The 17,125-nt window shown below is 43.8% G+C and overlaps 2 pseudogenes; both read left to right on the top strand.

Annotated features, from left to right (window-relative positions):
• VN1R90P (vomeronasal 1 receptor 90 pseudogene) lies at nucleotides 13,673-14,417 on the top strand (annotated as a pseudogene).
• Nucleotides 15,188-16,076, top strand: VN1R91P (vomeronasal 1 receptor 91 pseudogene; annotated as a pseudogene).

Genomic DNA, 17,125 nt, shown 5'->3' on the forward strand with positions numbered 1-17,125 from the left:
CCTCAGCCTTCCAAGTACCTGGGACTACAGGCGCCCGCCACCACGCTTGGCTAATTTTTTTTTTTTTTTTTTTTTTTTTTTTTTTTTTTTTTTTTTTTTTTTTTTTGTATTTTTAGTAGAGACAGGGTTTCACTGTGTTAGCCAGGATGATCTCGATCTCTTGACCTCGTGATCCGCCCGCCTCGGCCTCTCAAAGTGCTGGGATTACAGGCGTGAGCCACCGCGCCCAGCCCCATTTGGACATTTTAAAACAACTTTTTAATCATTTTGATAATGCAGAAAAAACCCAGCACTTTGGGAGGCTGAGGCGGGCGGATCACGAGGTCAGGAGATCCAGACCATTCTGGCCAACATGGTGAAACCCCATCTCTATTAAAAACACAAAAATTAGCTGGGTGTGGTGGTGTGCGCCTGTAATCCCAGCTACTGGGGAGGCTGAGGCAGGAGAATCACTTGAACCAGGGAGTCAGAGGTTGCAGTGAGCTGAGATCGTGCCATTGCACTCCAGCCTGGCTATAGGGCGAGACTGCGTCTCAAAAAAAAGAAAAGAAAAGAAAAGAAAACAAAACAAAAATCCTGAGATGGTGCTGCTGGATATGAGTGCTGGAAAGGGGGAGGGAATTAAGAGCTGACCAGATCCCTCCTGACTGCCCCGCAGAACAAGTGGGGGGTGGTGCTGCACTAAATGATGCCCTCCCACAGAAGATGTATTTGCATTGGTTCAATGAATATACAATGCAGAGACCTAAATGAAGACACGTGAATGGGTGTATGTGGACATCAGATTGCAGCTGGGAAACAGGTGCCTCTCATTCTCCCCAGCAAGTGTGGAAGGTGTCCATGCCCATGAGGGTATAGATCTGTCATTCTTAACTTGTATACAACTCTAGGTCAGTTCTGACTCAATGACGTGCAGATGAGATTTCTCAGATCATTTGTATGTTTGACATTGTGGCTGCTGCTTTTGCTGCCACCATCCCCAGGCCCAACCTGGCTTAAAGTCCAGGCTTTAGGTCAAAACAATGGAGGGCTTCCTGTGTTCTGGGATGGGAAGTTGGAGATCTGTGGTAGGGCTGGGGGTTGGGGTACACTTTAGTTTTGTGCAGAATGAGAGCTGCAGTGGTTTTATTAATCGTGATGATTGGCCTGGCCTGGTTGTAACTCTGGGCGGGGGGAAGGAATCAGCATTGGTTGTTCCCCAGATATTCATGTGTCCAGCCCTGGCCTTCCTGCCCTCAGACCCAGCAAAAAGTACCACCACAGACTCTGACTTGCCTGCCTACTCCCTGCACCCCAGATGGGAATACCTTGGAGGCCAGACTCTGAATGTATTATTCTCCCCATTCTAACCAGACCTGCCTAACACACAGTGAGGGAGTGAAGATAGGCAGGGTGAGGGACCTGGGGAGAACCAGAGTGGAATCACAAATCCTTGGGAAAAGTTAAAGATACAGCAGTGGGCTGGGCTCAGTGGCTCACGCCTGTAATCCCGGCACTTTGGGAGGCCGAGGCAGGCAGATCACCTGAGGTCAGGAGTTCAAGACCAGCCTGGGCAACATGGTGAAACCCGGTCTCTACTAAAAATACAAAAATTAGCCGGGCATGGTGGCGCACACCTATCGTCCCAGCTACTCAAGTGGCTGAGGCAGGAGAATTGCTTGAACCCGGAAGGCAGAGGTTGCAGTGAGCCGAGATCATGCCACTGGGTGACAGAGCGAAACTCTGTCTCAAAAAGAAAAAAAAAATTGTTCTATCTCTCAAAATTGAGAAGATGACCAATAGGGAGAAATTGTTAAATTAATTATACCCTAAAGCTGCTCCCTTTCCTGTTTAATTTTAGTCAATAGTTGTTTTTTGTTTTACATAGTAAACTGAAAACTAACTGGACATGTAAATAGACTGTACCCATTCTTGTACCAACCACTGTGGTTTGGCCAATAAAAGGATGTCAACTGTTCAAACCATGTTCAAATAAGGCAAACCCCAAGCTGTAATCAATCTGGCTGTTTCTGTACCTCACTGCCATTTTCTGTATGTCATTTTGCTTTTTCTATCCATAAGTCTTTTTCCACCTTGTGGCTGTGCTTGAAGGGGGCCTGCCCCTCCACACCTGTGGGTATTTCTCGAAAGGTGGAAATGAGAGACTGAGAAAAAAAAATAAGACACAGAGACAAAGTATAGAGGAAGAAAAGTGGGCCCGGGGGACCAGCGCTCAGCATATGGAGGACCTGCACCGGCACCAGTCTCTGAGTTCCCTCAGTATTTATTGATCACTGTCTCTACCATCTCGGTGAAGGGGATGTGGCAGGACTATAGGGTAATGGTGGGGAGAGGGTCAGCAGGAAAACATGTGAGCAAAGGACTCTGTGTCATAAATAAGTTTAAGGAAAGGTGCTGTGCCTTGATGTGCACATAGGCCAGATTTATGTTTGACTTTACACAAACATCTCAGTGCAGTAAAGAGCAATATTGCCACTAGCATGTCTCACCTCCAGCCTTATGGCGTTTTTCTCCTATTGTTGTAACCGAGCGAGTTATAGAGAAATGCCACACTCTGAGACTAATTCAGGAGTCCTTTATTGCCAGCAACTGAGAGACGGCTAGCGCTCAAAATTCTCTCAACCCCGAAGAAGGGGCTAGATTTCTTTTTATACCTTGGTCTAAAAGGGGAGGGGGAGTCTAGCTGAAGCAATTTTTACAGAAGCAAAACAGGCAAAAAGTTAAAAAATTGATGGTTACAGAGATAGTTACAGAAAAATAAACAGTTCCAGGTGCAGGGGCTTAAACTATCACAAAGAGATAATGCAGGGGCTTTGGGTACCATCCACCGAGCGCATCCCCAGGAGCTGCTGGTTCAGCTTGCCTCTATATCTTATCAGTAAGTGCATTCCTGGACGTGCTTGGAGTCAGCTTGCACTAGTTATGTCCTTAAGGGAGGGGGATAAGGGGGGCTGCAAGTGAAGAAACAAAAATGGAGTCTGTCTGGCTCTCTCAGCTAAAAGAGAGTCAATCCGGTTAAAACAAGGTAGGGTATCACACTATCTTAGTAAATAGAATGTACGATTGGGTTTTACACCGAGACATTCGAATCCTAGGGACGAGCAGGAGACAGATGCCTTCCTCTTATCTCAACTGCAAAGAGGCCTTCCTCTCTCACTAATCCTCCTAAGCACAGACCGTTTACAGGTGTTGGGCTAGGGGACGGTCAGGTCTTTCCCTTCCCATGAGGCCATATCTCAGGCTGTCTCAGTTGGGGGAAACCTTGGACAATGCACAGGCTTTCTTAGGAAGAGGTCCCTGTGGCCTTCTGCAGTGCATTGTGTCCCTGGGTACTCGAGACTGGAGAATGGTGATGACTTTTACCAAGCATACTGCCTGCAAACATATTTTTAACAAAGCACATCCTGCACAGCCCTAAATCCATTAAACCTTGAGTCAATACAGCACATGTTTCTGCAAGCACAGGGTTGGGGCTAGGGTTACAGATTAACAGCATCTCAAGGCAGAAGAATTTTTCTTAGTACAGATCAAAATGGAGTTTTTATGTCTTCCTTTTTCTACATAGACACAATAACAATCTGATCTATCTTTCTTTCCCCCACAATGCTGAAATCTCTCTGAGCCTACTCTGGCTTCACAGGCTACTCGATTTGCAAATCACTCTTTGTTCAATTAAACTCTGTTGAATTTAATTTCTCCAAAGTTTTTGTTTTATTTTAAACATTTTCCTCAAATTTTTTCTATCATTAAAATGAATAATGTGCTCTTGGGCTTTGATTTTCTAAATTCATCCCTCAGCTATTTTCCCAAATTATTTTGTCCTTTCATAATGCTTCTGCAATTTTTTTTTTTTTTTTTTTTTTTTGAGACAGTCTCACTCTGTCGCCCAGGCTGGACTGCAGTGGTGCAATCTTGGCTCACTGCAACCTCCACCTCCCAGGTTCAAGCCATTCTCCTGCCTCAGCCTTCTGAGTAGCTGGGACTACAGGCACGTGCCACCATGCCCGGCTAATGTTTTGTATTTTTATTAAAGATGGGGTTTCACCGTGTTAGCCAGGATGGTCTCCATCTCCTGACCTGGTGATTTGCCCGCCTTGGCCCAAGAGTGCTGGCGTGAGCCACCGCACCTGGCTACATCTGTTTTCTAATCAGTACTGCCACTCCCTGGGTTTGTCACCTTGAAAAGATTTGTTCACTTATATTAACATCAGTTTTTTAACTGTAAATTGCATTTTATTAGTAGAGTTTGAAAGGTAAAGTATTTACAAGGACATAAAGGCGGTGAGTTTCAGAAAAATCTAATAATATATTTCTTTGGTTAAAAATTCTCATTTACCTATTTCTTTCTTTCTTTCTTTTTTTTTTTTGAGACAAAGTCTCACTCTGTCACCCAGGCTGGAGTGCAGTGGCGTGATCTCGGCTCATGGCTGCCTCCGCCTCCCGAGTTCAAGCAATTCTCCTGCCTCAGCCTCTGCAGTAGCTGGGATTACAGGCACCTGCCACCATGCCCGGCTAATTTTTGTTTTTGTTTTTGTTTTTGTTTTTTTTTAGTAGAGATGGGTTTCACCATGTTGGCCAGGCTGGTCTCGAACTCCTGACTTCAGGTGATCCCCCCACTTCGGCCTCCCAAAGTGCTGGGATTACAGGCATGAGCCACCACACCTGGCCTACTTTTTTTCTTTCTTTCTTTTTTTTTTTTTTTTTTTGAGACAAAGGCTCACTCTGTCGCCCAGGCTGGAGTGCAGTGGGGCAATCTCGGTTCACTGTAATCTCTACCTCCCAGGTTCAAGCGATTCTCCTGCCTCAGCCCCCTGAGTAGCTGGGATTGCTGGTGCACATCACCACGCCTGGGTAATTTTTGTATTTTTAGTAGAGATGGGCTTTCACCATGTTGGCCAGGCTGGTCTTGAACTCCTGACCTCAGTGATCTGCCCACCTCGGCCTCCCAAAGTGCTGGGATTACAGGTGTGAGCCATGGCACCCGGCCTTGCCTGGATAATTTTTTAATTTTTAATAGAGACGGGGTTTTGCCATGTGGGTCAGGCTGATCCCAGACTCCTGACCTCAGGTAATCCATTTGCCTCAATCTCCCAGAGTGCTGGGATTACAGGCATGAGCCATGGTGCCCAGACTAAAAATTCTCATTTTTGCTTTCCCTGGGTGAATTTAGAAATTTTCTCAGATGTGTTTTTTTTATGGCTGGGTGATTTCCAACAGAATTCCAAGGCATAGCTATTAGAATGCTAGCTACCAAGGATAAAATAAGGGAAATCTCTCTTCTATTTTGGCTGCAGAAAATAAATACATTTCCACAAGAAAATGTGGTAGGTAATTAGTGAGTCACATAGATTCATTAAAACATCAGTTTCTCTTTTTACAAGGTAAATTCGTGACAGTGAATATTTTTGTTGTATATCCTGTGATTTTTATTTCTGAGCTTCATGCTAAATTTTATGAGATAAAACTTGAGGCCAGGCACAGTGGCTTACGCCTGCAATCCTAGCACTTTGGGAGTCCGAGGCCGGCAGATCGCCTGAGCTCAGGAGTTCGAGACCAGCCTGGGCAACATGGTGAAACCCCGTCTCTACTAAAGTATAAAAGAATTAGGCGGGTGTGGCATCATGTGCCTGTAGTCGCATCTACTGGGGAGGCTGAGGCAGGAGAATTGCTTGAACCTGGGAGGCGGAAGTTGCAGTGAGCTGAGATTGCACCACTACACTCCAGCCTGGGTGACAGAGCGAGACTCCGTCTCCAAAAAACAAACAAACAAACAAAAACTTGGTACCTCCTAGAAATGTTCACATATGACTAATTGTTTACTACATGATTTTTCATGAAAATAATGCAATAATACATTTATTATCTGAAGGGAATAGATGCTTTTGCTTTCCTTGTTGAGGTATGAAATATAAGCACCTTAAAATTTCCTTTCGGTGGGGCATGGTGGCTCACGCCTGTAATCCCAGCACTTTGGGAGGCCGAGGCGGGCGGATCACGAGGACAGGAGATTGAGATCATCCTGGCTAACATGGTGAAACCCTGTAATAAAAATACAAAAAATATTAGCCGGGTGTGGTGGCACGTGCCTGTAGTCTCAGCTACTCAGGAGGCTGAGGCAGGAGAATCACTTGAACCCGGGAGGCAGAGGTTGCAGTAAGCCAAGATCGTGCCACTGCACTCCAGCCTGGGTGACAGAGCATGACTCCATCTCAAAAAAAAAAAAAAAAAAATTCCTTTTTTTACATGAAAATAGTGTTTGAGTAATTTTGCTAGATTTTTCAAAGATTTTCAAAAACCAAGTGAGTGGCTGGGCATGGTGGCTCATGCCTGTAATCTCAGCACTTTGAGAGGCTGAGGCAGGCGGATCACCTGAGGTCAGGAGTTCAAGATCAGCCTGGCCAACATGGTGAAACCCCGTCCCTACTAAAAATACAAAACAGCCAGGCATGGTGGAAGGTACCTGTAATCCCAGCTACTCGGGAGGCTGAGGCGGGAGAATTGTTTGAACCCAGGAAGCGGTGGTAGCAGTGGCTGAGATTGTGCCACTGCACTCCAGCCTGAGCAAAAGAGTGAGACTCCATCTCAAAAAAAAAAAAAAAAAAAACCCTCTCTCTCTCTTTGATTGTCACACCCAGGCTGGAGTGTGACAAAAACAAAACTAATAGGTCAAATTCAGCATGCAGGAAGAAGCACAGGAAAATAGAGAGAGAAAAGAAAAAAGAAGAAAAACAACACCAAGTTACTCTAAGTACTGTGGAAATAAACTGAAAGTGGGGTTAGAGAAAAAAAGAAAGAAGAAGGTCCAAGTAGTTCCAGGTACTTGGGAGGCTGAGATGGGAAGACCAACTGGACGTGACCAGTGAATCACAGTCTGCATGGACCTGAATGGTACAGGCGCCAGTGAGAGCCATCTGGTCGACCTTAGACATGGCAAGCTGACAGCCAGGTCCAAAGCTCATGGCCAACATCTCTCTCAAAATAAATAAACAAAAAACCAACAGTAAATTTTAACAATAACAAAGAAATAATAACAAGCAATAAGACCAATAAATAAGTAGAAGTAAACAAACGTAAAAGGTAATTAATATCACAATTAGTTGTTCTCTCTCTGTTTCTCAGTTTCTGTCTTTCTGTTTCTCTGTCTCTCTCTCCCTTGATCTCTGTGTGTCACACTATCACACCCAGGCTAGAGTGCAGGTGTATGGTTACAGCTCACTGTTGATTGCACACCTGCACTCAAGCCATGATGTGACAGAGTGAGAAGACCTAGCTAAATAGAAATATATATAACATCAACTTCAGCATCTAGGAAGGAGCATAAAAGATTTTAAAAAGAGAGAGAGAGAACAAAGGACACAAAAGAAAAACTACGGCAACTCTCTCTAAGTACTGTTGAAGCCAACTGAAAGTGGGGCTAGAAAAAAAACAGAGGAAGAAGGTTTGAGTAGTTTTACATACTTAGGAGGCTGAATGGAAAGACCACCAGGGTGAGACTGGGGAGATCAAGGCTATAGGGAATCACAATCACATCCTTCCTTTGGACCTGAAAAGTACTGCCACTGGTTATAGCTATCTGGTCCACCTGAGACATGGCAAGCTGGCGGCCAAGTCCAATGCTCATGGCTGAAGTCTGTCTCAAAATAAATAAACTAACAACAGTAAATATTCAACAATAAAGAAATAATAAAAAACAATAATAAGACAAATAAGTGGGAGGGAACAAAGATAAAAGGTAATTAATATCACAATTAATTGTCTCTCTTTCTGTCTCTCTCTCCCTTGATCTCCATGTGTCACAGTTTCACACCCAGGCTGGAGTGCACATGTGTGGTCACAGCTCATTGCTGATCACTCACCTGCACTCCAGCCAGGGCGTGACAGAGTGAGAAGACCCAGCTAAAAAAAAAAAAAAGAAATCTAAAACATCAGTTTCAGCGTGCAGAAAGGAGTGTAAGGAAATGAAACAAAGAGAGCAAAGAACAAAGGAGAAAAACCACAGCAACTCCCTCTAAGTTCTGTGGAAGCAAACTGAAAGTGGAGTTGGAAAAAGAACAGAGGAAGATCCAAGCAGTTTCAGGTACTTAGGAGGCCGAGATGGATGGGAAGACCACCTGGGCAAGACCAGGGAGATCAATGCCACAATGAATCACAGTTGCATCTCTTTCCAGCCATGCTCAGTGGCTCACGCTTGTAATCCTGGTACTTTGGGAGGCCGAGGCGGGTGGATCACGAGATCAGGAGATCAAGACCAGCCTGACCAACATGGTGAAACCCCATCTCTACTAAAAATAAAAAAAAAATTAGCTGGGCGTGGTGGCGGGTGCCTGTAATCTCAGCTACTTGGGAGGCTGAAGCAGGAGAATCATTTGAAACTGGAAGGGGGAGGTTGCAGTGAGCCGAGATTGCGCCACTGCACTCTAGCCTGGGCAACAAGAGCAAAACTCCATCTAAAAAAAAAAAAAATTGCATCCCTCTGCCTTACCTGAGTAATATGAGCAATACTGCTGCCGGTGAGAGCTATCTGGCTGACCTTAGACAAGGCAAGCTGGCGGCCAGGTCCAATGCTCGCAGCTGACAACTGCCTCAAAATTAATAAACAAATGACCAACAGTAAATAATAATAACAGAGAAATGATAATGAACAATAATATGACCAATCAATAAATAAATAAATGGGAGTGAACAAAGGTAAAAGGTAATTAATATCACAATTTATTGTTGTCTCTCTCTGTCTCTATTTCTCTGTCTGTTTCTGTCTGTCTGTGTCTCTGTCTGTCTTTCTGTCTCTCTCTTTGATCTCTGTATGTCACACTGTCAAACCCAGGCTGAGGTGAAGGTGTGCAGTCACAGCTCACTGCTGGTCATGCACCTGCACTCCAGCCAGGGTGTGACAGAGTGAGAAGACCTAGCTAAAAAATTATATATGTGTATAAAACATCAACTTCTGCATGCAGGAAAGAGCGTAAAAAAAATTAAAAAAAAAAGAGAGACAGCAAAGAACAAAAAGAAAAACTACAGCAACTCTCTCAAAGTACTGTGGAAGCAAACTGAAAGTGGGGTTAGAAATAAAGCAGAGGAAGAAGGTCTGAGTAGTCCCAGGTACTCGGGAGGCCAAGATGGGAAGATCAGCCCCGTGAGACTGGGGAGATGCAGGCTGCAGTGAATCATGATCGCATCCCTCTGCTGGACCTGAATGGTACTGCTGCCAGCAAGAGCCAAATGGTCGACCTTAGACATGGCAAGCTGGCGACCAAGTCCAACACTCGTGGCTGACATCTGTCATAAAATGTATAAACAAGAAAACCAACAATATATATATTTTTTGAGACAGAGTCTTGCCCTCATTGCCCAGGCTGGAGTGCAATAGTGCAATTTTGTCTTTCCGCAACCTCTGCCTCCTGGGTTCAAGCGATTCTCCTGTCTCAGCCTCCCAAGTAGCTGGGATTACAGGCATGCGCCACCACGCCTGGCTAATTTTGTAGTTTTAGTAGAGATGGGGTTTCTCCATGTTGGTCTGGCTGGTCTCGAACTCCCGACCTCAGTTCATCCACCTGCCTCGGCCTCCCAAAGTGCTGAGATTACAGGCATGAGCCACCTCGCTCAGCCCATAAATATTTAAAAATAACAAAGAAATAACAATAACAAGACCAATAAATAAGTAAGTGGGAGTGAACAAAGGTAAAATGGAATTAATATCACAACTAATTGTTGTCTTTCTGTCTGTCTCTGTTTTGGTCTCTCTGCCACTGTCTGTGTCTCTGTCTCTCTGTCTATCCCTCTCTCCATCAATCTCTGTGTGTCACACTGTCACACACAGGCTGGAGGGCAAGGTCACGGTAATGACTCACTGCTGATTGAACACCTACACTCCAGCCAGGGTGTGACAGAGTTAGAAGACCTACAAAAAATAAAATTAAATTAAACATCCATGTCAGTGTGGAGGAAAGAAGGTAGCAAAAAATAAAAGAAAAAAAGAAACAGAGCAAAGAACAAAGAATAAAGGCCACAGCAACTCCCCCTAAATACTGTGGAAGCAAAATGAAAGTGGGGGTAGAAAAAAAAAAGTAGGAAGATGGACTGTGTAGTCCCAGGTAAATGGGAGGCTGAGATGGGAAAACCTTCCGGATGAGACCACGAAGATCGTTGCTGCATTGAATCATGATTGTATCCCTCTGCTGGGCCTGAACAATAGTGCTGCCAATGAGAGCCATGTGGTCAACCTTGACACCAGCAAGAGCCATCAGTTTGACCTTAGACATGGTGAGCTGGCGACTAAGTCCAACACTCGCAGCCGACATATGTCACAAAATAAATATACAAAAAAAAACAACAGTAAATATTTAACAATAACTAAGAAATAATAACAAACAATATTAAAGACTGTTGGGAACAGGCTCCCAAATCTGGCCATAAACAGGCCCCAAAACTGGCCATAAACAAAATCTCTGCAGCACTGTGACATGCTTGTGATGGCTATGATGCCCATGCTGAAGGTTTTTGGTTTACCAGAATGAGGGCAAGGAACACCTGGCCAACCCAGGGTGGAAAGCCGCTTAAGGCATTCCTAAACCATGAACAATAGCATGAGCAATCTGTGCCTTAAGGACATGTTCCTGCAGCAGATAACTAGCCAGAGCCCATCCCTTTGTTTCCCATAAGGAATGCTTTTAGTTAATCTATAATCTATAGAAACAATGCTTATCACTGGCTTGCTGTCAATAAATATGTGGGTAGCACTCTGTTTGTGGCGGTCAGCTCTGAAGGCTATCAGCCCCCTGATTCCCACTCTGCACTCTGTATCTGTGTCTGTGTCTTTAATTCCTCTAGCGCCACTGGGTTAGGGTCTCCACGACTGAGCTGGTCTCGGTAAAAGACCAATAAATAAATGAGAGTGAACAAGGGTAAAAAATAATTAATATCACAATTAAGATATTCTTCTCTCTCTCTCTCTGATTATCACACTCAAGCTGGAGTGTGACAAAAATAAAAAAAATCTAAGAGGTCAACTTCAGCATGCAGAAAGGAACATAGAAAAATAGAGAAAACAACAAAGATTTAAAACAACAGCAAGTCACTCTAACTACTGTGGAACAAACTGAAAGTGGGGTTAGAACAAAAACAGAGGAAGTAGGTCCTAGTAGTTGCAGGGACTCTAGAGGCTGAGATGGAAAGATCACCCATGTGAGAACAAGACTGAGGCTACAGAGAGTCATAATCACATCACTCTGCTGGACCTGAAACAGTATGGCCACCAGCGAGAACCATCTGGTCAACCTTAGACATGGCAAGCTGGCAGCTAAGCCCAATGCTCATGGCTGATATCCATCAGAAAATATATAAGCAAAAAAACCAACAGTAAATATTTAACAATATCAAAGAAATAATAACAAACAATACTAAACACCAGTAAATCAATAAGCAGGAGTCAACAAAGATAAAAAGTAATTAATATTACAAGTAAGATCTTCTTCACTCTCTCTCTCTCTCTCTCTTCATTTGTCACACCCAGCTGGAGTGTGACAAAAAAATCTAAAAGGTAAACTTAAGCATGTAGAAAGGTATGTAGAATAGAGAGAGAAAGAAAACAAGTAAAATAACAGCAAGTCATTCTAAGTACTCTGGAAACAAACTGAAAGTGGGGTTAGAAAAAAAAAAAGGAAGAAGGTCTGAGTAGTCCCAGGTACTCATGAGGCCGAGATGGGAAGACCACCCAGGCAAGACTGGGGAGATCTCGATCACATCCCTCTACTGGACCTGAAGGGTACTGCCACAGGTGAGAACCATCTGGTCAACCTTAGACATGGCAAGCTGGTGGCTAAGACCAAGGGTCATGGCTGGCATCTGTCTCAAAATTAATAAACAAAAATACCAACATTACACATTTAACAATAACAAAGAAATAACAATATTAAGGACCAATAAATAAATAAGTGGGAGTGAAAAAAATAAAAGGTAATTAATATCACAGTTAAGATTTCCTCTCTCTCTCTCTCTCTCCTTTTGTCACACCCAGGCTGGAGTGTGACAAATAAAAAATAACCTAAAAATTCAACTGCAATGTGCGCAAAGGACTATAGGAAAATAGAGAAAAGAACAAACAAGAAAAACAACAGCAAGTCACTCTAAGTACTGTGGGACAAACTGAAAGTGGGGTTAGGAAAAAAAAAAGGAAGAAGGTCTGAGTAGTCCAAGGTACTCAGGAGGCTGAGATGGGAAAACCACCTGGGTGAGACTGGAAAGATCAAGGCTGCAGTGAATCAGGATGGCATCCGTCTGCTGGATCTAAGTGGGACTGCTGCTTGCAAGAGCCATCTGGTTGACCTTAGACATGGTGAAACATGAGGCATCTGGAGGACCTTAGACATGGCAAGGCAAGAGCCATCTGGTTGGCCATAGACATGGCAATCTGGTGGCTAAGCCCAATGCTCACAGCCGACAGCTGTCTCAAAATAAATAAACAAAAAACCCAACAATAAATATTTAACAATAACAAAGAAATAATAACAAACAATATTAAGGAAAATAAATGAGTGAAAAAGGTAAAGAGGATAATAAATATCACAATCAATATTATCCCCTCTTTTTTTCTCTCTTTCTCCATTTGTCACACCCACGCTGGAGTGTGACAAAAAAAAATAGTTAACTTCAGCTTATAGGAAGGAGTGTAGGAAAATAGATAGAGAAAGAACAAAGAAGAAAAACAACAGCAAGTCACTAGAAATACTGTGGAAACAAACCGAAAGTGGCTTTAGAAAAAAAGAGAAAGAAGTTCCGAGTAGTCCCAGGTACTCAGGAGGCTGAGATGGGAAGACCACGCAGGTGGGACCAGGAAGACTGAGGCTGCAGAGAATCATGATCACATCCTTCTGCTGGACCTGAATGGTATTGCCACTTGGCAAGAGCCATGTGGTGAATCTTAGACATGGCAATGGAGGAGCCATCTTGTTGACCTCAGACATGTCAGGGCAAGAACCTTCTGGTCCTGCCTCCAGTTTCCCTCTCCAAAATGGATTTATGTTTTAATATATTTAATAATTCTAATATTGAAATAACTTTATTTAGTTTTTATTCATCAAAAATACTAATTTTCTGTATAATTAATGGTTAGATTTAATTTAATTAGATTTAAATGAGAAATTGCCACAATCAAAACTTTTTAAAAGTACAACTGTATTTTATAGTTATAAAATGTACAAAATATGCAAAAATTAAAAATAAATTTGTGACATATTAAAGTGTATCTGTGTCTGTAAGATTGAGAAACATAGTGGATAAGCACATTGTCTACTCCTGAAACTTTCTTTTTATAATGAGGTGACTTTAGAAATGTCATTCAGCCTTCTTTTGTTTAATATCTCCTCACCTGTAAAAAGGGAACAATAAAGCACGTTGTAGATTTATGATAAAAATACATGTAAAACTTGTTATAGTATTCTAGAGTAGTACTATAATATAGTGGGAATATATGTTTTTCTTTTTAGAACAAAACTGTTACAAAAAAAGGGGTTCAATAAAATATTTCTGAGTTGGAAACAATGGCAAGTATACGGCAGAATGTTTTGGTTTCCTCCATAAAGCAGACGTCATCTGTCCATGAAAGATCTCCTCACTTGGAATGAAATTATAAGTCACTTGAAAATAACAGATTGTCTCCAGTAATATAGCAGTAGGAATGATCTTATCTCAGACCATAGTTAAATAGCTGGGATTTTTTGTTTCTTGGCATCAGAGTTTTCTTTATTTACCACATGCACATTATGATCCACAGATTTGATTCTCAAGCACCTGACTATGGCCAACTCCTTGGTACTCTCTAAAAAAAGTCCTTTAGATGATGACTGATTTGGAGTTGAAATATTTTCTCAGTAATATTAAATAGAAAGTGTTTTCTATGTTCAGAGAGTGGCCAGAGCATGTGCATTGACACCATCTGCCTCTTGAGTATCTCCCAGGCCATCACCATCAGCCCCAAAAACCTCATGTGGGCATAGCTTAAACTACATGATTCCAAATATATTTGAATCTCTAATATCCAAATTATGTGCTGAATTCTGAATAGGCTTATAAATGTCATTTTTCCTATGTATGTTACTGGCAAATGGAACACAATAAACAACACAAAAATTATTTAAAACACTGTTCTGGAGTAGTTAATAACAGAATTCCACATTTATCACATGTTGTGCTTTTATTATTTTTTAATGTTTTGTGTTTGGAACTTTTAACCTGGGCCAGCAGCTCCATGACTTTTATCCTGTTCAACACAAGTAGTGGGGTCCAACACATTCATAGGTCCAACACCACTCCTAAATTCTCACCTGAGTCCACAGTCACCCAAAACATCTTTGTCCTAAGGAGCACCTTTGTATTATTTTACACTCTCTTCTACATCTTTTCAGTATATACGTTTTTTTTAATTTTTTTATTTTTTTATTTTTTAGTATTTATTGATCATTCTTGGGTGTTTCTCAGAGAGGGGGATTTGGCAGGGTCATAGGACAATAGTGGAGGGAAGGTCAGCAGATAAACATGTGAACAAGGGTCTCTGGTTTTCCTAGGCAGAGGGCCCTGCTGCCTTCCGCAGTGTTTGTGTCCCTGGGTACTTGAGATTAGGGAGTGGTGATGACTCTTAACAAGCATGCTGCCTTCAAGCATCTGTTTCACAAAGCACATCTTGCACCGCCCTTAATCCATTTAACCCTGAGTGGACATAGCACATGTTTCAGAGCACGGGGTTGGGGGTAAGGTTATAGATTAACAGCATCCCAAGGCAGAAGAATTTTTCTTAGTACAGAACAAAATGGAGTCTCCTATGTGTACTTCTTTCTATACAGGCACAGTAACAATCTGATCTCTTTCTTTTCCCCACATTTCCCCCTTTTCTATTAGACAAAACCGCCATCGTCATCATGGCCCTTTCTCAATGAGCTGTTGGGTACACCTCCCAGACGGGGTGGCGGCCGGGCAGAGGGGCTCCTCACCTCCCAGACGGGGCGGCTGGGCAGAGGCGCCCCCCATCTCCGGGACAGGGTGGCAGCCAGGCGGGGGCTGCCCCCACCTCCCTCCCGGACTGGGCAGCTGCTGGGCGGAGACGCTCCTCACTTCCCAGATGGGGCGGCTGCCGGATGGAGGGGCTCCTCACTTCCCCGACGGGGCGGCTGCCGGGTGGAGGGGCTCCTCACTTCTCAGACGGGGTGGCCGGGCAGAGACGCTCCTCACCTCCCAGACGGGGTGGCGGTCGGGCAGGGACACTCCTCACCTCCCAGATGGGGTGGCGGTCGGGCAGAGGTGCTCCTCACATCCCAGACGGGGCGGCCGGGCAGAGACGCTCCTCACTTCCTAGACAGGATGGCAGCCGGGAAGAGGCGCTCCTCACTTCCCAGACTGGGCAGCCGGGCAGAGGGGCTCCTCACATTCCAGACGATGGGTGGCCAGGCAGAGACGGTCCTCACTTCCCAGACGGGGTGGCGACCGGGCAGAGGCTGCAATCTCAGCACTTTGGGAGGCCAAGGCAGGCGGCTGGGAGGTGGAGGTTGTAGCGAGCGGAGATCACGCCACTGCACTCCAGCCTGGTCAAGATTGAGCACTGAGTGAGCGAGACTCCGTCTGCAATCCCGGCACCCGGGGAGGCCCAGGCGGGCAGATCACTCGCGGTCAGGAGCTGGAGACCAGCCCGGCCAACATGGTGAAACCCCATCTCCACCAAAAAATACAAAAACCAGTCAGGCGTGGCGGTGCGCGCCTGCAATCCCAGGCACTGGCAGGCTGAGGCAGGAGAATGAGGCAGGGAGGTTGCAGTGAGCCGAGATGGCGGCAGTACAGTCCAGCCTCCACTCGGCATCAGAGGGAGACCATGGAAAGTGGGAGACGGGAGAGGGGGAGGGGGAGGGGGAGGGGGAAGGGGAGGGTTCTTTTTTATAATCCAAGTTGTTGGCTTATGAAAAACTCTAAACTGATCACTGCTTGTTTTTTCTATAGTCAGGTCCATTGTTCTCATAAGCCATGACCCCAGAATATCCAGGATAACCTCTTCCTGCTATGGAAGGAATATACAGTTTCCTAAGATGATCACATAGATCTACATTTTATGTGGAATTATTTTTTTAATGTGCAGACCTTCATTCATTATTTTATGCAGAGGTTTAATTACCACAAAGAGCAGTCACATATCAGAGAACCCATGAGTCACCGACTGAGTCCCTGCCCTCATAGAATTTATTATATGGTAGCAATGACAGTTACAGACTAAATGTTTTGAATAGTTCTTTGATAATTTTCTATTTACTAAATGTTATAATAAAGAAATTTAGAGGCCAAAATTTTATTTTAAAATGGGGCCTCTAGTAATTTGGAGACATTGGAAAACTTATATGGGTATGTAGCTTTAAACTAATTAATTTAAAACGTCCACTGGGAGCTGTGGCTCATGCCTGTTATCTCAACACTTTGGGAGTCTGAGGCAGGTGGATCACCTGGGGTCAGGAGTTTGAGACCAGCCTGGCCAACATGGCGAAACCCTGTCTCTACTAAAAATATAAAAATTAGGTGTAGTGGTGTGTGCTTCTAATCCCAGCTACTCTGGAGGCTGAGGCAGAAGAATTGTTTGATCCCGGGAGGTGGAGGTTGCAGTGAGCCAAGATAGTGCCACTGCACTCCAGCCTGGGTGACAGAGCAAGGCTCTGTCTCAAAAAAAAAAAAAAAAAGCCATAACCGGTTCATAGGTACATCAAGATGGTAGAATAGAAGGCTTCACCAACCTTCCCCCCTGTAAGGACACCAATTTAACAACAACCTACATTTAAAATCACCTTCATAAGAAACAAAAATCAGGTGAGCACTCATGGTACCTGGTTTTAACTTCATATTGCTGAAAGAGGCACTGAACGGGTAGGAAAAACAGTCTTGAATCTCTTACACTATTTCTCCCACATCCCCCAACAATGGTGGCATGGTGCAGAAAGGGAGAGTTCAGCAATTGTGAGGCATTGAATTCAGTGCTTTCATGTTATAACAGAAAGAAAAACCAAACAAAACTCAGCTTACACCTGCTGATGGAGGAATTATTTAAACCACATAGTTAAATACAGTTGCTGGTAATAGTAAGTACACAGAAAATCAAATAATA

The sequence above is a fragment of the Homo sapiens genome, chromosome 19 (genome assembly GCF_000001405.40).
Source record: "Homo sapiens chromosome 19, GRCh38.p14 Primary Assembly".
Classification (NCBI taxonomy): Eukaryota; Metazoa; Chordata; class Mammalia; order Primates; family Hominidae; genus Homo; species Homo sapiens.